The sequence below is a fragment of the Homo sapiens genome, chromosome 13 (genome assembly GCF_000001405.40).
Source record: "Homo sapiens chromosome 13, GRCh38.p14 Primary Assembly".
NCBI lineage: Eukaryota > Metazoa > Chordata > Mammalia > Primates > Hominidae > Homo > Homo sapiens.
Window position 1 is genome coordinate 40,517,332 of NC_000013.11, and position 22,129 is coordinate 40,539,460.

A 22,129-nucleotide genomic window follows, 5' to 3' on the forward strand; every position below is an offset into this window, starting at 1 on the left:
AATATAATGTCTAAAAATCTGAAATACTGGCTTCTATGGCACAACTGGACCCTTCAGAGAGGTATATTGGGAGAAGGCTCTTGGTGCCCCACAAGAGACCCACACCACCTGTCCTACCTATCCCAACCAGACGGCTTGGCAGGTGAGGGGAAGGAGCAAGGCTGAGAGGTGAACAGACCCTCAGCCATCACCATCGACAACTTGTAAAAATGTGGGGACCAACAAACACCCACTAACCTCTTTTTGCACTGGGCTTGTTCAGCTGCCTGCTGAGTGGGCTGAGAACAAAGTCAGCTGCAGTCATGAATACATGAGCCAATGCAGTGGTTATTAACATTTTGGTGTCATTGATCCTCAAAGAACATGGTGTGACCTAGGGACTTTCTCCCCAGGAGACACATGCAGATACTCACTGAAATTTGCATACAGTTTCAGGGGTTTCACAACCCCCTGAAGCCTCTCCATAGAGGTAAGAACCTTTGATCTTCTAATCGAACAATGATCTGTCCAAATTTAAACTTACAGAAGAGGTACAGTTCCAACATTGGTGAGTAGTTTTGTTTCTGTGTATGAGCATTGAGTACAGAGTAGAAGCTCACCAAGTCAAATCCCAGCACTTTCCTTTCAATGAGAAATGTACTTAAACTTCTCAGCCTCGGTTGTCTTGTCTGAAAAATGAGAAATAGTGATACTACTTCCCAGAGCTACTGTCAGGATTAAATCAAATAATGTCAGCTATAGACTCCTGAAGCACCCTGGACTTCCCCTTCTAAACCCTGCATCCCCTTCTAATCATTCAACTTAAGCAGTTGTTCAGTAGCCATAACCCAGTAAATTGTAAGCTTCAGGAAAGCTTTATTCACAACTGTATTCCCTGGGGCTCAGACTGTCTCGTTCAGCATGGTGCCCGGCGCATGGCTTCTGCTCAGTAAATGGTAGCTCTTATGAATATCCAGCTCAAACTGGTAATGACAAGGAAGCATTGCTAGACAACGAAAGGGTATCTGCTAAAATGTCTGCCTTCGGAAACCTATTGTGGACTCCATGGAAGAAGAACAAGTGCTGTCTTCTTTCTTTGTTGCTATCCTCAAACAAAGAAGTGAAGGATTGTTGCAAGACTCAAAGTCTGTCACTCCCACAGAGCACCAGGAAATGAGCCTCTTCCCTCAGATTCCCCCACCCCAGTTCTGATCCACATAGAGGCTTCTGAGACTCAACCCCATCTGTGAGTCTAAATGGACAAGACAGCAGCTGCTGAGTGGGAGGCAGCACCATCTCCGGAGAGAGGCCCCAGCCCTTTCCCAAGAAGGTGTTACTTTTGATTTCCTTCAAGTGTGATCAAGGTGGGTGAAGGGTGGCTGCTGGAAGTCTAGGCGAGGTGTGGGCTGGCTGAGTCAGGGCTGGCCACGTTCCCCTTGGGAAATTCCCATAGGGAGGGAGCAGGTGGCAGTTGTCAACTGGGAAATTAACCTGGCGTGACTTTAAGATCAATGGGTAGATTGTAATCTGCCCACAGAAAAACCTGGGTCTAATTAAGGGACAGCACTCTGGGTGGAAGTGAGATCCTATGTTTGGAATGAAGTCCTTCACCTTGGCCTTCTCTGTTTCCACCTCTCTAGTTCACAGGCATGTTGTTAGAATAAATCAAATGAAATGATAAATACATACATTTGAAAACTGAAAAAGTGCTCATGGAGTAGATTAATAAAATAGTATATAAAAGAATAAGGCAGATTTTCATACTGTTACTAAAAAAGTTTAATTAAAATGCTATTGAAAAGTATTAATGCAATTTATTATTATTAATTTGCCTCCACTTAGCACCAGGGAGCAATTTCCCCATTTTAGGGGATGGAGGCCTGGCCAAGGAATCAGGATCTGTAGGTGACTCTTATTTGATTAGCCATGTTTGCTTCAGGGCACCAAATCACAAAGGAATAAAAAATACCAGAGCTGCCCAACAATGAAAAGATTTCTTAGAGACATTTTAGGCTTCCTCTCAAATCCTCGTGTTTTACATATATTACAAATTCTTAGCCCAAGTCCAAAAGATGGACTATAAATAAACTTGCAGACAAGCATTAAAAGGTAGAAGGTTCAGGGTGACATGGGACCCCATGAATGAAATCTAGAGATAGGGACTTGTTCCTCCCGGACCAAGATAAACTCCCAGGGAAAACTTCTACAACCTGGAGACAAAGCAGGACTATTTCCCAGGAGAGGAGAACAAACAGCTTTTTATCAATAATGACTACCATTGTGTTGGATATCAACTATGCACTAGATACCTTCTCTGCATCACTTCTAACCCTCAAACAAGTCCCAGTTTATAAATGAGATTGAGAGAGCTCACATGAAGTGTAAGATCACAGAGGCTAAAGAAAGGTGGGCTCCAGGTTTGAACCAAGGCCTACCTGTTCTGTCAGCTCACCCTTCTCAGCCGTGCTGCGGTTATTCACCATGAGACCCAGAGGAGGTGACACTGCCTGCCGTGGCGAATGGGTGTGATCACATGAGGTCCAGCCGGGCATTTTTGCAGGCTGGGCTGTGCCTCTTCCCTAATCTGGGACAGTTATACTGCCAGAAGTTCAAAATTAGGCTAGACAACCCATTTTCTTAGCTTCCATCCAGTAAAATAAAAGTTTTAAAACCAGACATGAAAAAATGTGGGTTTTTTTAACTTTTTATTATGGAAATTTTCAAATACACACCAAAGTTAAGAGAATGGTAAAAGTTATCCCCCCTGTGCCATAACCCACCTTCAACTACCATCAGCATTTTACCATTCTTGTTTCATCTATTCCTCCTATTTTCTGGAATATTTTAGGTAATCCCAGACCTCAAATCATTTCACCTATAAACATTTCAGTATTGACCCTAATACATAATGACTTAAATTTAACATGACCGCAAGTCCACTATCACTCTTAAGAAAAGTAATAATTCCTTAATGTGTTTGATTTTTCCCCAGTTGTCTCCAAAATGTCTTCTTATAGTTGGTTTGAATCTGGTCCACATATTACAAAATTTGGTTGTTTTAGTCCTGTGCAATTTCTTTTATGTAAAAAATATTTTGTAAATACGGGAACATGATTGCTGGGTGGTCTAAGAGATTTCTTTCACAATGAATGTAGGAAGACAGAACCACCCAAGCAAATCAAACTACAGTATCCAAGCAGTGTACTTCATGTTAGTTGAAATTATTTCAGCATTAAGAATTGATTCCTATTCTTGCGGTAGGCACAGAGTGGATTTTCCTTATAATGAAGACTGTGTGCACCAACGAGGGAAACAGAATGTGCATGGAACGGATGTGAAGTGAACTTGGTGATCACCTTAACAGTCCATGCAGTTGTTCTGAAGTAAAAGAACTGTTTCTTAAAAAATAAAAACAGTATATGCAGCACCAACAATAATGGCAATCAGTTGATATTTGCAAATACTTTAAAAAATTAACAATCAGTTTTATACTCTCCCTCCTTTAGAAAATAAGGCATACGTGTTGACGTCATTTTTGTGTTTTGTAATTAACACATGAGAAGATGATGCAAGGATAAACAATATTTGTACACTCCCAGGCCTCAGTTTCTTTAGCTTCGAAATGGTGGTGTCTGGTGTCGAGGTGTTGGTGATGATCTTTAAAGGGATCTTCCAGTTAATCATCAGTAGTGAATTACCATGGTGTGCCACCCAGACACCCCTTCAAGACTGAGACACTCATTTCCCAGGTTGCCTGGAGTCTTGGCAGCTGATGGCTCACAGTTAAGTTTCTCCCCAAGAATGACTCTTGGCCCAAGCACATCCCTTTTCCAGGGCCCACCCACAACCATTGACTAGTTGATGTGGAAGGTGTTAAGGCCCAGGCCTCATGCTTCATTTGAGACAATTCTAAAAGGCCATCCCTCTTTAGGATGGTCAGGGCCTCTGCTGCAACTGTATCAGAGTCCAGTACTCCCCTCTGCGCACTACTGCTTTCCTTACTCCTTACAGGTAATGTTCAAAAGAGCACTCCCCAATAAACTTCTCACACACAAATCTGAGTTTCAGTCTGTTTCCTGGGAACTGACCTACAATAGCTTCTATAATTCCATGATCTGCTTCTGCAGGTCATCAGCCGAGACCCTACTACATTTATCTGGTGCCCAAACCCCAACATTTATGGCTCAAGTGCAATGGGCTGACGGCCAGAAAGAAGATGGCTTCCTTTGGAATACAAGAGTTCTGAGCCCACAAAGCAGAAGAGAACCACACCCAGGCCAAACTGATATCCCAAATTCCTCAGGGGTCAGATCATTTTCATAATCCTGCACAGCTAAAACTGCCATCACAGTTGTGAACCCAGAAAAAGAATGTCAGCAAAACTACCCAGAAATGATAAAGGCAACAATATTTCCATGTACTAAGTAACACAGCAGCCAGAGTGAGCCTTTTAAAATTAAAGCCAGGTCATGTCACCCCCAAACTCAAAACCCTCCAGTGGAAAGTCGTTCTTCTCATCTCACTCATAATATAATCCCAAATTTCTACCTTGGACTCCAAAACCTAACATGCTGCTGCTTATCTCTCTGACCTCATATTCTACCACTCTTTCCCTTATTCAGTCTGCTACAACCAACACTGGTCTTCTCGCTGTTTCCAGAACATTCCAAGACCACTCCTGCCTCAGTGTTTTTGCCCTTGAGGTTTCTTCTGCCTGGATTTCTCTTCCCCCAGTAGCCACATGGTTTCACCTGCATTTCCTTCAGGTCTATTATCAAATGCCATCTTATCAAGGATGCCTTCCTGCCTTTTCCATAGATGGGTCTTCAAAATAAGGTGCTTGCTCCTCGGTTCACAAAATCTTTCCAAGGAGTACCTGGGCACTTAGGTAGTTTAAGGGAAATAATTTTCATGAGCCTCAAGCTCTGCCTGCATTCATTCCTAAATTTGAGTATCACTACGGTCAAGCCATTTCTCACCCCTGCTTTCATAAGAGATCCTTTTCCCACCTTACAAAAGAAATATTTACTTGACCCTCATTTCAAATCTTATAATGATGCATTGTCTATGCAAAACCTCCAGGGTGACTGGCAAAGGTTTATTTGAATGTTGAGGTTGTTTTTGAGAAAGTGCAATGACTCTGATGACTAATAAAATATCTTTTTGCAATTCAAGTAGTTTCTAACTCATTACTTTCAACAAAATGAAAGGAGTCTCTAATAGAGTTATTCATGATAGATACCTAAAAATAATTTTGATGAAAGATCACCAAGTGATTTCTGGCGTTTAACTCAGAAGGAATTCAGAGACTTGAGTAACACTGCTCTAACAGAAACTTTCCATGCTTATCTTCTTAGGGATGCAGACAAGATTTCTTTAGGACTTCCATCTACAAAAACCAAGATAGTAATATAATTGGTGTTGAGCCTTGTATCATTCAAGCAGTAAGTCATACTCAGCCATGGGTATATGAACTAATTATGATTTAAAAGGGAGACCTAGACTATTTCATAACAAGATGCATTTCCCATGAAATTGTGCTTTTTATGTTACAAGAAATTATTAAGGTTTCTAAGCATAAAAATAAGATATATTAAGATAAAAATCTGGGGGAGGAGTAAAATGGAAATACAAGTTCGGAGAGAAAATGGGATGATGTTAGGTGTTCTCACCACTAAAAATGGTAAGTATGTGAGATAATGCATATTTTAATTAGCTCAACTGAGCCATTCCACAATGTATACGTTTCAAATCATGTTGTACACGATAACCAGATATAATTTTATTTATCAATTTAAAGTAAAATAAAAGAAAACTGATGTAATATTTCCAATAAAGACGACCTTTTTTATGAGCTTTTTAAATAAATAGATAAATAGATGATGGTAGATATTAAATTAATATGACATTTAGATTCCATTAGATACTTTTTTTTTTTTTTTTTGAGAAGGAGTCTCGCTTTGTCACTAGGCTGGAGTGCAGTGGTGCGATCTCAGCTCACTGCAACCTCCACCTCATGGGTTCAAGGGATTCTCTTGCCTCAGCCTCCTGAGTAGCTGGGACTACAGGCACATGCCACCACGCCTAGCTAATTTTTGTATTTTTAGTAGACACGGGGTTTCACCATTGGCCAGGATGGTCTAGATCTCCTGACCTTGTGACCTGCCCGCCCTGGCCTCCAAAAGTGCTGGGATTACAGACGTGAGCCACCGCGCCTGGCCCATTAGATACATTTTAAGAAAATATATAATCATTTAATTTTTCAGCAAAAGCAATACATTTTACAATATATAGAAAGTTAATTCTTTACAACTACTAATGATAAAATTTAGAAGTCCATTTAAAAATGGTAAGAATTGTCACTATTAATGCCATGGAAATTAAAAGGACAATAAAGGAATGTTATGAAAAATTTTATGCCCACAAACTTGATAACTTAGATGAAATGTACCAATTCCTTAAAGACACAAACTATCATATTTCACAAAGGAGAAACAGATAATCTGAATACATTTATATCTATAAGATAAATTGAATAAATAATTAATAACCTTCTACAACGAAAGCACTAGGCCCAGATGGTGAATTCTACCAAACATGTCAGGAAGAAATGATATTAATTCTCCACAATCTCTTCCAGAAAAACTGAAGCAGAGAGAACACTTCCTAACTCATTCTAAAAAGTCAACATTACCTTAAGGAGGAATAAGTTCTAGTATTCTCTAACACTGTAGGATGACTATAGTTAACAATAATATATAGTTTAAAATAGCTAGAAGGAGGATATTGAAGGTTCCCAATACAAGGAAATGATCTTTGAGATAATGGAATGCTAATTACCCTGATCTGATCATTATATATTATATGTATTGCAACTTCAATATGTAGCCCATAAATATGTATAATTATTATTGTCAATAAAAAAATTTAATGAAAAAAATATATTACCAGAAAGGAATACAGATTACCAGATACAGACCAGTATCTCTCATGAACACAGATGCAAAAATCCTCAATAAAACATTAGTAAATTGAATTCGACAATGTATAAAAAGGATTATAAACCATGGCCAAGTGGGACTTCTTCCTCCAGATATGCAAGGCTGGTTCAACATTCAAAACTCAATCAATGTAATTTACCATATTAACAGACTAAAGAAGAAAAATCATAAGATTTTATTAATTGATGGATAAAAGTCATTTGACAAAACCCAACACTCACTTATGATTTTTAAAACTCTCAGCAAACTGGGAACAGAGAGAAACTACCTCAACTTGATAAATAAAAAAAAACCCTCAAAAATCCTGCAGCTATTATATTTAATGATGAAAAACTAGACACTTTCCTCTAAGTACCTTGGGAACAAGGTAAGGGTGTCCTTTCTCATTACTCATAATCAGCATTGTACTAGAAGACTTAGCTAGTGCAATAAGACAGGCAAAGGAAAGAAAAGGTATGTAGAATATGAAGGAGGAAATAAAACTGTCTTTGTTCACAGATGACATAATTGTCTATACAGAAAATCCCAAAGAATCACTAAAAATCTCTTAGGACTAACAAGCTAATATAGCAAGTTTGCAGACTTACTATAGAACAGTCCATTGTTTTTCTATACCAGCAATTAAAAAATCATAATTTGAAGTTGAAAAAAACAATATAATTTACAATAGCACTAAAAAAAAGAAAATTTATGTATAACTCTGACAAAATATGTACATAGTCTATATGCAGAAAACTATAAAACTGTGATGAAAGAAATCAAAGAGAAAAATAAATGGAGAGATTCCATGTTCACAGATTGGAAGACTCAATATTGTTAAGATGTCAATTCTTCCAAACATGATCTATAGATTTAATGCAATCCCAATCAAAAATTCCCAGTAAGCTACTTTGTAGATGTTGACATAATGATTCCAAAGTTTATATGGAAAGGCAAAGACCTGGCTGGGCAAAGTGGGTGGCTTATGCCTGTAATCCCACCACTTTAGGAAGCCAAGGCAGGTGAATCACTTGAGCTCAGGAGCTCAAGACCAGCATGGGCAACATGGTGAAACCCCTTCTCTACCAAAAATACAAAAAATTAGCCAGGCGTGATGGCATGCACCTGTGGTCCCAGCTACACGAGGGGCTGAAGTAGGAGGATTGCTTAAGCCCGGGAGGCAGAGGTTGCAGTGAGCCGAGATCATGCCACTGCACTCCAGCCTGGGTGACAGAGTGAGACTTTGTCTCAAAGTAAAATAAAATACATTTAAAAAAGGCAAAAACCTAGAAGGAAGACTAATTGGGAAAACTCACACAACCTGATTTCAACATTACTTTAAAGCTACAGTAATGAAGACAGCATGGTATTGGCAAAAGAGCAGAAACATAGATCAATAGAACAGAATAGAGAGCCCAGAAATAGATTAACACAAACATAACCAACTGATCTTTGACAAAGGAGCAAAGGCAGTTCAGTAGAGAAAGGATAGTCTTTTTGCCAAATGGTGCTGGAAAAAAATGAACATCCATATGCAAAAACATGGACCTAGATCTAATACCTTTCATGAAAATTAACTCAAAATCAATTAGAGACCTGTATCTAAAATGAAACTAAAAAAAATCTAGAAGGAAACATAGAAATAGTCTAGGTGATCTTGATTTTGGCAATGAGTTTTTAGATACAACACTAAAAGCATGATCCATGGGGAAAAAATAATAAATTAGACATTTTTAAAGTTAAAAACTTCTGTTCTAGGCCGGCACAGTGGCTCAAGCCTGTAATCCCAGCACTTTGGGAGGCCGAGGCGGGCAGATCACGAGGTCAGGTGTTCGAGACCATCCTGGCGAACGTGGTGAAACCCCGTCTCTACTAAAAATACAAAAATTAGTTGGGCATGGTGGCGTGTGCCTGTAATCCCAGCTACTTGGGAGGCTGAGGCAGGAGAATCGCTTGAACCTGGGATGTGGAGGTTGCAGTGAACCGAGATCACACCACTGCAGTCTAGCCTGGCCAACAGACTGAGACTCTGTCTGAAAAACAAAAACAAAAACAAAAAACTTCTGTTCTTCAAAAGACACTGTTAAGACAAGTGAAAGCCATGCCACAGACTAGGAAAAAATATTTGTAAAACACATATCTGATAACAGTCTTACATGCAAACATACAAAGAACTCTAAAAACTGAACAATAAGAAAATAAACAGCCCAATTTTTAAAATGGCAAAAAATCTGAACAGACTCCCCACTAAAGTAAATATATACATGAAAAATAAGCAAGTGAAAACATTATAAACATCATTTGTCATAAGGGCATTGGAAATTAAAACGAGATACTACTACATACTTATTAGAATAGCTAAAATTAGAAAAAAAACTGAACTAATTGTTGATGAGCATGTGAGCAATAGGCACTCTCATTCATTGCTGCTAGGAATGCAAAATGGAACAGACACTTTCAAAGATAGTTGGGCAAGTTCTTAAAAATCCAAACATAGTCTCACCCAACAATCCAGCAACTGCACTTCTAGACAGTTACCAAACTGATTTGGAAACTTATATTCACACAATGGCCCACACCTGTAGTCCCAGCAATTTGGGAGGCAGAGGTGGGTGGATCGTCTGAGCCCAGGAGTTCAAGGCCAGCCTGGCTAACATGGTGAAACCCCATCTCTACTAAAAACACAAAAATTAGCCAGGCGTGGTGGCACATGCCTGTAGTCTCAGCTACTCGGGAGGCTGAGGAATGAGAATCACTTGAACCCAGGAGGTGGAGGTTGTAGTGAGCTGAGATCACACCACTGCACTCCAGCCTGGGTGACAGTGAGACGCTGTCTCAAAAAAAATAAAGACAACTTATATCCACACAAAAATGTGCATGTGAATGTTTATAGCAGCTTTATTCATAATCACCATAAACGGGAAGCATCCAGTATGTCTTTGAATAGTGAGTGCATAAACAAACTTTTGCATATCCATGCAATGGAATATTATTCAGCGCTGAAAAGAAATGAGATATCAAGCTACAAAAAGACATGGACAAATCTTAAGTGCATATTGTCAAGTGAAAGAAGCTAGTTTGGAAAAGGCAAATCTATAAATGCAATAAAAAGATTAGTGGTTGGCTGAGCGTGGTGGCTCATGCCTGCAATCCCAGCACTTTGGGAAGCAGAGGTGGATGGATCACCTGAGGTCAGGAGTTCGAGACCAGCTGGCCAACATGGTGAAACCCCATCTCTACTAATATTAGAAAAATTAGCCAGGCATGGTGGCACACCCCTGTAATCCCAGCTACTTGAGCCGCTGAGGCAGGAGAATCGCTTGAACTCAGGAAGTGGAGGTTGCAGTGAGCCAAGATTGCACCATTGCCCCCCAGCCTGGGCAGCAAGAGCAAAACTCCGTCCGTCTCCAAAAAAAAAAAGAAAAAGAAAAAAAAAGATCAGTGGTTTCCAGAGGTTTAGTGTAGGAAAGGAGGGATTAATAGGTGTTGCACAGGAGATTTTTTTTAAGAGTGGTGAAACTACTCTGTATGACACTGTAATTGTGGATACATGACCTCATTTATCAAGACCCACTGAACTTAACAGCACAAAGAATAAGCCTTAAGGTATGAAATTTTTAAAATATCATTTAGGAGCCTGGGGAATTCTTGGATGGAATGCAGTAAGTGACAAAAGAATCTAACTGTATTAAAAATGCATCAAATGACCTCACTGAAGTAGATGTGGGAAAAAGTTGTTGTCCTAAAAAACTTTGGAAATGAGTGGAATCTGTAAGACTAACAGCAAAGAAACTACACATAAGCACTGTATTCTGGCTGATAAAGTTGCTTCCCACATGCATGCTGGTTAACAATTCTGATAGTGCTATGCATGTATACTGGAAATGAATAAGCAAATGGATGGCTGGTGTAGTGGGAGATTACAGACAAGCAACAGGAGGATGCTGGAATGATCTGTGTGTGTGGTAATGGCTAGAGTTGGAGAGGTGTGTATGAATCCATGTTTAGCTTAAAATGAACACGTGGTTACATAAAGAATTATTTAATAGATGTTCTTATATACACTGGTTAGTGTACACATGTATTTCCTTGCTTTGTCAGCTGAGAAAAGTAATAACACACCAGAATCAGTAAGCACACCTATTGCCTAGGTATTGGTTTCTAATACCATTCTCCAATAAATAGAACCAGTGTTTCTTAGAAAAATGGCTGATTGTAGAACTGGAGCAGGAAATAGATGAGATGAACCTGGACATTTTATAGTGCCATTGAGTAAGGAAGCGCTTTTAAAAAAATGACTGGGGTATGTCAAAGGGACATAGAAGCCAAGTGAAAGAGCTCCCAACAGCCAAAGCTGAAATAATTTGAGCAACAAAATAAATAAAATAGTACTGATTATAATCCAAAGTATAAAAGAAATATCTATCAGTCCATTCTAATATAGATAAATGACTAAATGAATAAATGGAGAGAAGAGAGAAATCTCCTATGCAGAATAATTTAATAATAACTTATGTAGATATTCCACCCTTAAAGACATGGAGCATCACTCTCCACTCCTTATGTGTGGACTGTACAGAGTGACCTCCTTCTAAAGAACACAGTATAGAAAACAGGGGGGGTAGGAAGAGTAGCTTTACTGTGGAAAAGCCTGACAAACACTATCTCAGTTAGGTCACCAAGGTCAAAATCAACAGTGATAATTCCTGTTGCTAGTACATACCCTTGATATGATGTGATGAGAATGGCACTTCTGTGGTTTTCCTCTCCAAACCCATAATCCCATAATCCCAGTCTAAACATGAGAAAAACATCAGACAACTCCCAAGTGAATAACATTTTACAACCTTACTCGTACTCTTCAAAGCTGTCAACGTCTTAAAAACAAAGAAAGTCTGAGAAACTGTCGCGGTCAAGAGGAGGCTAAGGGAACATGGCAACTAAAGGTCGTATGAGGCCGGGCACAGTGGCTCATGGCTGTAATCTCAGCACTTTGGGAGGCCGAGGCGGGCGGATCACCTGAGGTCGGGAGTTTGAGACCAGCCGGACCAACATGGAGAAACCCTGTCTCTACTAAAAATACAAAATTAGCCGGGTGTGGTGGCATATGCCTGTAATCCCAGCTACTCGGGAGGCTGAGGCAGGAGAATTGCTTGAACCGGGGAGACAGAGGTTGCGGTGAGCCAAGATCAAGCCATTGCACTCCAGCCTGGGCAACAAGAGCGAAACTCCATCTCAAAAAAAATAAATAAATAAAAACAAATATAGGTCATATGATATGCTGAATGGGATCCTGGAACAGAAAATGTACTTTAGGTAAAAACTAACAAAATCTGAATAAAGTTTGGACTTCAGCTAATGATACTAATAGTATACCAATATTAGTTCACTAATTATAACAAATGTGCTACGCGAATGTAAGGTGTTAATAACAGGGAAAACAGGGTGTGGGGTATATGGAAGCTCTCTGTACTGTCTTCTCAACTTTGCACTAGAGGTTCTAACCAGTGTAATGAGGCAAAGAGATAGAGAAGGAGGGAGGAGGAGAGAAGGGCAGCCGAGAAGGGTACAGAAGGAAAGAAATTAAAGGCATGTACGCTGGGGAGGAAGAGGTAAAACTGTTTTTTATAGTCAATACAGCCTGTATAGAATTCTAAGGAATACACACACACACACACACACACACACACACCCCTACTAGATTTAATAAACAAGTTCACCAAGGTCACAGAATATGATCAATATACAAAAGTCAGTTGTATTTCTACATACTAGGAACCATCTGAAAATAAAACTAAAAAAACTGTTATATTCACACTAGCATGAAAAATGAATAAAATAGGAATAAATTTAGCAAGAAAGTTCAAGATGTGTACACTAAAACTATGAAATATTGCTGAGAGAAATCAAAGAAGGTCTAAATAAATGGAGAGGCATTACATGCTAATGGATAGGAAGACTCAATATTGTTAAGATGGCAACACTACCTAGTCATCTCAGATTCAATGCAAACCCTAGCAGAAATCCCAGCAGACACTTTTGCAGAAATTGTCAAGCTGATTTTAAAACTTATATGGAAATGCAAAGGATCTGGAGTACCCAAAACAACACTGAAAAATAACAAAGTTGAAGACTTACATCTCCCATTTTCAAAACTTATTATGAAACTGTAGTAACCAAGACAGGTTGGTGTAAAAATAGGACTAAACATGAATGAAGGTAAATTAAGAGTCAAGAAATCCTATGCTCATGTTCAATTAATTTTCAACAAAAACACCAAGGCAATTCCATTGGAAAAAGATGGCCTTTTCAACAAATGGTGCTGGGTGCTTTTGGGGGCAATGGAAATGTTCAAAATCTAATTCTGGTGATGGTTGTACCACTCTATTAAGTTTATTAATAGTTATTTAACTTAAACTTAAAATGGGGGAATTTATGATGTATAAATTATGCCACAATAAAGCTGTTAAACAAAAAAGGCACTTCCTAAAAGTTGAAAGTGAACCAAAGCAAACACTGAAACATTTATCTTTAATGATCTAAAACTCAGCGTTGTTGCTGGGCATGGTGGCACGTGCCTGTAGTCTCAGCTACTTCAGGCTGAGGCAGGAAGATCCCTTAAGCCCAGGAGTTTAAGTCCAGCCTGGGCAACAGTGAGACCCCCCATGTCTAAATTTAAAAAACAAACACAAAAAACTTTCTGTACACTCCCTAGTAGAAGATCCTGGGAAACAACAACAACAACAACAAAAACCTTTAAAAAGCTTAAACTGTTTTCAGTAAGCATATTGTTTGTAGTAGTACTGGTATAGTTTTTCTAAGACTTCTGTGTGTGCTGATCAAGTAAATAAGTGATCATATTGGTGTGGTTGAAAATGAGAACACTCAAAGTGGAGGACTAGGATACAAATGTAAGATCAACTGGGCTAAATAAAAACTTATGGTCCTGAATTGGAATCGAAAGTAACAGTATAAACAACTGATGTATTTTATCTTAAACATTTTTTCAACTTTGTCTACTAAAAGTCCTAGTGAAAAATGACCTACCCAGTATTTATGAGCCCCCTAGCACCCAAACTGTGGTCTCTAATACGATTTTCCACTGAAAAGAACCAATGCTTCTTGAAGAAGTGATCGATTCTAGATCTGTGATACAAAATGTACCAGATAAGTCATGAAATGTTTGTCTAACCACAAAGAAAAGAAACTACCAAAAACTACTAGCGTCATGTCCAAAAGAACTGAGGTGCCACCAACTTGACTAGATTCCCACTGGTCAAAGATGGAACAACTAAGTAAGCATCAAAAAGAATAATAACCGCAATCGACTGAAACACTTTCAGTATGCTTAAGTCTCCGGCTTTATAATGACACTAAAAAACAAAACAAAACCCACTGGTTGCCTTGGAACGATGCTGGGAAATCAACTCATTATTTTGAAAAATGGTAGAATTAAACATTCATCTTGCCTTACATATTCAAATTAAATGTTAGAATAACTGAATGGTTTAAAAGGAGAAGTTTATCTTTAGAGAAATGATCCAGGTAATAAAGCAAGAAGGAAAGGTGAAATTAGAAAATCACCATTTTGGGCTGGGCGTGGTGGCTCACGCCTGTAATCTTAGCACTTTGGGAGGCCGAGGCCGGTGGATCACGAGGTCAGGAATTCAAAACCAGCCTGGCCAACATGGCAAAACCCCGTCTCTACTAAACACAAAAAACAAAAACTAGGCAGGCGTGGTGGCTACTTGGGAGGCTGAGGCAGGAGAATCACTTGAAGCCAGGAAGTGGAGATTGCAGTGAGCTGAGATCGTACCACTGCACTGCAGCCTGGGCAACAGGGCGAGACTCCATCTCAAAAAAAAAAAAAAAAAAAAAGAAAGAAAAAGAAAAGAAGATCACCATTTTACAATTTTACAACCCTAATGAAATAATGAATTTGTGCAATAATTATCAAAGACTGCTAACATCCAGAAGAGAGAAATAATCACACAACATGGCATCCTATCTGAAGTACACAACACCCTCTATGATGTATGTGCTAAAAAAAAATTTAACCTCAATCTGATCGGGCCTCCAAACCCAATTTACAGGAAATAAGGGGCAGAGGGACATGTTAAATAGCACTACAATGATGCAGTTGACAAAATCTAGACTTTTGGAAATTCTAAAGACAAAGACACATTTCTACACTGAAAAAAAAGCGTGGAAAAATGAGAGGGCAAACCAATAGATTAAAAGAGACTGAAAAGACAACCAATCACAGCCCACGAGCCCTAATAAAATTCTGATGCAAACAAACCATTTAAAATACATAAATGCTCTAAACCTGGATTGTGGCGATGTTTGCACAACTGTTTAAATTTACTAACAATAGGCCGGCGTGGTGGCTCACGCCTGTAATCCCAACACTTTGGGAGGCCGAGGCAGGTGGATCACAAGGTCAAGAGATGGAGACCATCCTGGCCAGCATGGTGAAATCCCATCTCTACTAAAAATAGAAAAATTAGCTGGGCATGGTGGCGCACACTTGTAGTCCCAGCTACTGGGGAGGCTGAGGCAGGAGAATGGCTTGAACCCGGGAGGCAGAGGTTACAGTTAGCCGAGATTGCACCACTGCACTCCAGCCTGGAGACAGAGCAAGATTATGTCTCAAAGAAAAAAAAATTACTAACAATCAAACGGTATATTTACAATGGGTGAAGTTTACAGCTTGTAAATTATACCTCAATAAAACTGTGTCAGGCTATCAGGGAAATATGAAGACTAATGAACAATAAGGAATTATTGTTGATTTTTAAGGCATTATCATATTGTGGTTTTTTTTAAAATACTTCTTATCTTTTAAAGACAAATACTGAAGTATTTACAAATATTTGCAGATAATTCAAAGCATTTGTTTCCAAACATTCTGGTGTGGAGGCGATGGGGACAAAAGGTAATGAGCACACAGGCATTATTACACTATTCTACATTTGTGCACATTCGAAATGTTCCCTAATAAAAAGTGGAGCGGCTGGGCGCGGTGGCTCACAGCTGTAATTCCAGCACTTTGGGAGGCCAAGGCATGCAGAACATCTGAGGTCAGGAGTTCAAGACCAGCCTGGCCAACACGGTGAAACCCTGTCTCTAATAAAAATACAAAAATTAGCCAGGCGTGGTGGCACGGCCTGTGGTCCCAGCTACTCGGGAGGCTGAGGCAGAAGAATTGCTTCGCCGCACTGCAGCCTGGGTGACAGAGCAAAACTCCTTCTCAAAAATAAAAAAATAAATAAATAATAGTAGAGCATTAAAAGACAATTTGAAAACAAGAAAAGAGAAACAGTAAGGAAGAGAGAAAGGCTTTTAATTAATTACTTTGCTCTCTCTTAATTATTTAGCTCTCAGCTTTCTACCTTTGCTATTAACACAATTGATGTGTGGAAATAGATGGCATATAAATAATAATAAATAAATTTTTATAATAATATAAAAACCAAATAACCATAACTTACGTCCCGCGTCTTCAAACCCATACAGAGCGTGGAACTGCTGCCTCCCATCCCTGGGATGTTGCAAAGGAAATGGAAACCAACCACCAACACAAGGATATGACCCACACATGGGAGAGGACGTGCTGAGCAGGGATCTGGAGGTGTTTTAGTCATGGTTTGTGACCACTGTGGTGCTGCACACAGCCTGTGCCTTGGCATCCCACCACCATTTATAACAGTCAACCCAGTGAAATCAGATCCATTAAACAGCTTATTTTTAAAGAAAATACTTTACATTGCTGCACACGGCTGGGCGAGGTGGCTCACACCTGTAATCCCAACACTTTGGGAGGCCGAGGCAGGTGGATCACTTGAGGCCAGGAGTTCGAGACCAACCTGGCCAACATGGTGAAACTCCGTCTCTACTAAAAATACAAAAAATTAGCCAGGTGTGGTGGCGTGTGCCTGTAGTCTCAGCTGCTCAAGAGGCTGAGGCAGAAGAATTGCTTGAACCCAGGAGGTCAAGGTTGCAGCGAGCCGAGATCGCGCCACTGCACTTCAGCCTGGGCAACAGAACGAGACTCCGTCTCAAAAATAAATAAATAAATAAATGGTTGCATGAACATCAAAGCTTACATATTCACGAGTAATGTTATTTAAGTTTACACTAAAAATGGGTGAATTTATGATATGTAAATTATACTTCAATGAAGCTGTTAAACAAAAAAGGCACTTCCTAAAAATTGAAAGTGACACCTGTCAGGTGAGTAACAGGTTTTTTCATATCTGAGTGTGGATATCAGTCGCTTGCTCTGGACACAGAGCCAAAGAAAATGCTGAACACATTCTCTGGATTTATCTGAGTGACGCAACATAGCATGGTGGTAAAGAACGTGGCCTTCGGGGTTGGACAGATGGGCTGTGTTCAGCAAGCTTAAGTAAATGCTTAACCTTTCCAATCCCAGACTCCTCTTCAGGAAAACAGGAATAAAAACACCTTCCTTGCAGGACAGATGCAGGGATTAAATGAGGTAATGCAGTAAAGTTTGGCATCTAAGATTTCAACCCAAACCAGTGGCTATGATGGCTTCTAACACCAAGGCTTGCACAAGGAGACTGAACAAAAGGGGGACTTGCAGCGTGTTTCACTGGCCAAAAAAAATTAAAAATAGGCCGGGCACGGTGCCTCATGCCTGTAATCCCAGCACTTTGGGAGGCCAAGGTGGGCAGATCACGAAGTCAGGAGTTCAAGACCAGCTTGACCAAAATGGTGAAATCCCATCTCTACTAAAAATACAAAAATTAGCAGGCGTGGTGGCACATGCCTGTAATCCCAGCTACTCAGGAGGCTGAGGCAGGAGAATCGCTTGAACCCGGGAGGCGGAGGTTGCAGTGAGCCGAGATGGTGCCACTGCACTCCAGCCTGGGTGACAGAGCGAGACTTCGTCTCAAAAAATATTAAAAATAAAAATAAAAAAATAGAGCACTTGAGCTGCCAGATGACCTGGCAGGGCACACATCTGACGAAAAGAATTTTCCAGTGATGATTCTGAAATGATGAAGAAGTTTAAAAGAGCTTCAAAGGGCTGCGGCCGTGTCTCGAGCCCACACAGACCGGTCAGCCCTGTCACCTCCAGAACCGGCCTGGCACCATGGAAAGGGCACGGAAAGGGCTGCCAAAGCCGTCCTCGCGCCCACGCACGAAACCACCACCTCCGCAGCCGGGCCCAGCAGCTCCACTCCATCTCCCCTTTTCAAAATGAAGACCCTAAGATCTCCTTCGAGGAGATGAGCAGAAAGCCCAGCCGCAGAGCTGCGGACGCTAACGCCAGCGCCAAGCGGGTGCCGACACTCCCTGTGCTGTTCCGGCCCCACACCATCTGGAAAACAAGGTCGTCTTACCCTGTTTAGTCCATGAGGAAAGAAAGGCTCAGCTCAGGGAGGACATTTGCCCAAGGTTACATAACTGGTGGGTGCGCGGGCCAGGCCTGACATCGGGTCCACCCAGATGCCAACCTTCCTTACTGCTCCTCTCCAGCGCCTCAGCCAGCTCCCAGCCTGGGACCCAGAAAGGCCCAGAGCCCGCGCTCATGCCAGCACACGATATCTTCGGTACTAATCCCCGGATTTCATTAATCTCTATCACAGGTCCAAAGAGGAGGGGTCGCTGAGGCTGGGCTAATCTCCCTCCCGAGTTTGACTTCCAACTTTCCATGAAGGCCTTAGCCCTATTGCATCCCATGGGACCAAGTAAAAACCTTAGGCTCCCAGAAGATCAAGGGGATGTTTATCTGGCATCTAGGGATCAACTTCTGGAAGAAAAAAATACAGCAATATATCTAAATCCATTTCTTCAGGAAATTAATGAATGGAAGGGCTGCTCTTAGCAGAGTCTCCAGAACTGAATATGCAGAGGGCTTAAGGGTTCCTTTTCTAAGTAAGAGCTGTCTCACTGCTTCCTTTTTTTATTTTTTTTTTTTTTTTATTTTTTATTTTTGTGAGACAGGGTCTTGCTTTGCCACCCAGGCCGGAGTGCAGTGGCACAATCATGGCTCACTGTATCCTGGACCTCCTGGGCTCACACAATCCTCCTTCCTCAGCTCCCAAGTAGCTAAGACTACAGGCACGTGCCCCCACACCTGGCTCTTTTTTTTTTTCTTTCTTTCTTTCTTTTTTTTTTTTTTTTTTTTTTTTTTTTTTTTTTTTGTAGAGAGGGGGTTTCGCTATGTTTCCCAGGCTGGTCTCTAATTCCTGACCTCAAGTGATCCGCCCACCTTGGCCTCCCAAAGCGCTGGGGTTACAGGCGTGAGGTTACAGGCCAAGCCCTTAAATTATTCAAAGCTAAAGTTCTACTCCCAAGACCCCAAGGTTAACCGAAGTCCAGAAGTCCTCCGGTACCTGAAATACCTCACAGCTGCTAGGCTTTATGGCTGTTGTCAGACTGTTCAAACACAAACAGAGCCAAATATCCTGCCAGCCAGCACGGACCTGCTCCCAAGAATCATGTGTTATGGTTTCCATCACACCCAGCCATCAAGTCCTGTTTGAGCTTGTCATCCCTGCAAGCCATGTGACTGCTGGCACCTACCTGGGTCACATTTGCCTCTTCCCTTGGGACACAGCTTTTTGCAAAAAGGCCATAGCCACTTGCTAGGATGAGTCAGAAGTTCCTCAAATCTCCTGACACAACTCAGGGGCAAAGAGAAAGGGACAGCAAACAGGCCCAGCAGGGGCTGTCTAGCCATGACATAAGAAGCCAGCACATATCTTTAGAGGAGCGTTCAGCTCCGAATCCCAACCTGCTTCACAAACACCTGGGGCAAACTCCAGAGATGGCATTTCCACTGGCAATGACAGGAATCGGGCCAAACACCACACATCCCCCTGGACACTCTTGACGTTCAATACATTCACAGAAGCTTCCTTGACCACTCCTGGGCCCTGTGACCCTATCAGGCCAAGGAGCTGGTTCACAGAAAGTGAAAGATTCTGACAAGCAGAGTATTTTCCCTCTGAGCAGGTGTGGTTCCTCACTGAAACAGGAATCCTCTTTATTCCACAAGCGAGACACAGAACAAACAGTGCCCCAGGCCGGAGAACTGAGGCCAGACCTGCTTCCCAGGTGACCCCGGTGTCCACAAAATAAATGCCCCTGTAGGATGGGGATCATCCGCCTGCCTCTTTGCACACACTAGTCTCCTGGCCATTCTCCTGCGAAGGCCTCAACCTCCCAAAGCCCTTTAAAAGATAACATTTTTTCCATCCCCTTTTAATTATCTTGAGCCAATGGGGACAGGTTCAGACTCTGTCCCTGATTACTTTGATGGGTAAATCCCCTGCTGCTCGGCTGAGGAGGGCTCTCAGTAACCTCAGTCCAGCCATCCAGCTCCCCACAGCCCCGCCGCCAGGAAGAGCCTGGCTCCACAACCCCGTGCCAGGCCCTTGACTTCCAGCCAAGCGTACCCACTCACTCTTTTCCTGTGCTTTCCTGATTTTTAAAAGAGCTGGCACGGGGGCTCATGCTTGTAATCCTGGCACTTTGGGAGGCCAAGACCAGAGGATCTCTTGAGCCCAGGAGTTCGAGACCAGCCTGGCCAACATAGAGAGACTCCCATCTCTGCAAAACAATTAAAATAGAAAGATTATTGGGTGGGTGCAGCATACCAATATGGCACATGTATACATATGTAACAAACCCACACATTGTGCACATGTACCCTAGAACTTAAAGTATAATAATAATAATAATAATATATATATAAAAGATTATTGGGGCCAGACGTGGTGATTCATGCCTGTAATCCCAGCACTTTGGGAAGCTGAGGCAGGCAGATCATCTGAGGTCAGGAGTTCGAGACAAGCCTGGCCAACATGGTGAAACCCCATTTCTACTAAAAATACAAAAATCATCCAAGTGTGGTGGTGGGCTCCTGTAGTCCCAGCTACTTGGGAGGCTGAGGCAGGAGAATTGCTTGAACCCAGGAGGCAGAGATTGCAGCGAGTTGAGATCACGCCACTGCATTCCAGCCTGGGCAACAGAGCGAGACTCCCTCTCAAAAAAAAAAAAAAGATTATTGGGTGTGGTGGTGCGTACCTGTAATGCCAGACACTTGGGAGGCTGGGGCAGGAGAATCCATTGAGTGCAGGAGTTTGAGTCTGCAGTGAGCCATGACAGTGACACTGAACTCCAGCTGGGGCAACAGAGTGAGACTCTGTCTTGGGGAAAAAAAAAGTAGGAAAGAGAGTTTTTACATACCCTTCATCCAGCTTCTCCTACTGTTAATGACTTACATACTGATAGTACAATAATCAAAACCAAGAAATTAACTCTGGTATGATACTGTTACCTATACTTGGATTTCACCAGATTCTCCACTAATGTCTTCTTTTTCTGTTTCAAGATCCAATCCAGGATCCTTTGCTGCATTTATCCTCATGTGCTCTGCAAGCTGAGACAGTTCCTCTGTGTTTTCTTGTCCTTCAGGACCTTGACAATTTGTAAGAGTCCTAGTCAGATATTTTGTAGGATATCCCTTAACTTGGGTTTGTCTGATGTGTTTTCTCACCATTAAACAGGTTATACATTTCTGGCAAGATTCCCACAGAGGTGACGTGCCCTTTTCAGTGCATCATATAAGAAAGTATATGAGGAAACTGAGGCCCAAGAGCTTAAATAATTTCCTCAAAGGCAAATGGCTAATAATGGACAGAGCTGGTACTCAAGTTTGCACAACTAAAAAGGCGTTGGTCTTTTTACCTTTCCCTAACTTCCAGAATGTAGAAACCATACTTTAAGCAATATACAGGTTATGTAATACATGAAACACAGTGTGCTATATTATTGCAGGTACAATATGGATATACAGGCCAGGCGCGGTGGCTCACGCCTGTAATCCCAACACTTTGGGAGGCCAAGTAGGGTGGATCATTTGAGGCCAGGAGTTCAAGACCAGCCTGTCCAACATGGTGAAACCCTGTCTCTACTAAAAATACAAAAATTAGCCAGGCGTGGTGGCATGTGCCTGTAATCCCAGCTACTAGGGAGGCTGAGGCACGAGAATCACTTGAGCCTGGGAGGTGGAGGTTGCAGTGAGCTGAGATGGCACCACTGCACTCCAGCCTGGGCAACAGAGTGAGACCCTGTCTCAAAAAAAAAGTACATGATGTCGATTTATCTTACCACTGGTGATGATAATC

At 41.3% G+C, this 22,129-nt stretch overlaps 5 annotated features.

Moving 5' to 3' along the window:
* Positions 245 to 444: a silencer, noted in NCBI's record as "silent region_5279". NCBI's record gives its function as "represses an Ori minimal core promoter by ATAC-STARR-seq in GM12878 lymphoblastoid cells {active_cell/tissue: GM12878}" and the evidence as "EXISTENCE:reporter gene assay evidence [ECO:0000049][PMID:35858748]".
* Positions 650 to 1,849: an enhancer, noted in NCBI's record as "BRD4-independent group 4 enhancer chr13:41092118-41093317 (GRCh37/hg19 assembly coordinates)". NCBI's record gives its function as "activates an origin of replication core promoter dependent on BRD2, P300/CBP, MED14 and CDK7 cofactors, and independent of BRD4, by STARR-seq in HCT116 cells {active_cell/tissue: HCT116}" and the evidence as "EXISTENCE:reporter gene assay evidence [ECO:0000049][PMID:35650434]".
* Positions 655 to 804: an enhancer, noted in NCBI's record as "active region_7606". NCBI's record gives its function as "activates an Ori minimal core promoter by ATAC-STARR-seq in GM12878 lymphoblastoid cells {active_cell/tissue: GM12878}" and the evidence as "EXISTENCE:reporter gene assay evidence [ECO:0000049][PMID:35858748]".
* Positions 925 to 994: an enhancer, noted in NCBI's record as "active region_7607". NCBI's record gives its function as "activates an Ori minimal core promoter by ATAC-STARR-seq in GM12878 lymphoblastoid cells {active_cell/tissue: GM12878}" and the evidence as "EXISTENCE:reporter gene assay evidence [ECO:0000049][PMID:35858748]".
* Positions 20,241 to 20,535: a silencer, noted in NCBI's record as "tiled region #6999; K562 Repressive non-DNase unmatched - State 24:Quies". NCBI's record gives its function as "represses a minimal TATA promoter and a strong SV40 promoter by Sharpr-MPRA in K562 cells {active_cell/tissue: K562}" and the evidence as "EXISTENCE:reporter gene assay evidence [ECO:0000049][PMID:27701403]".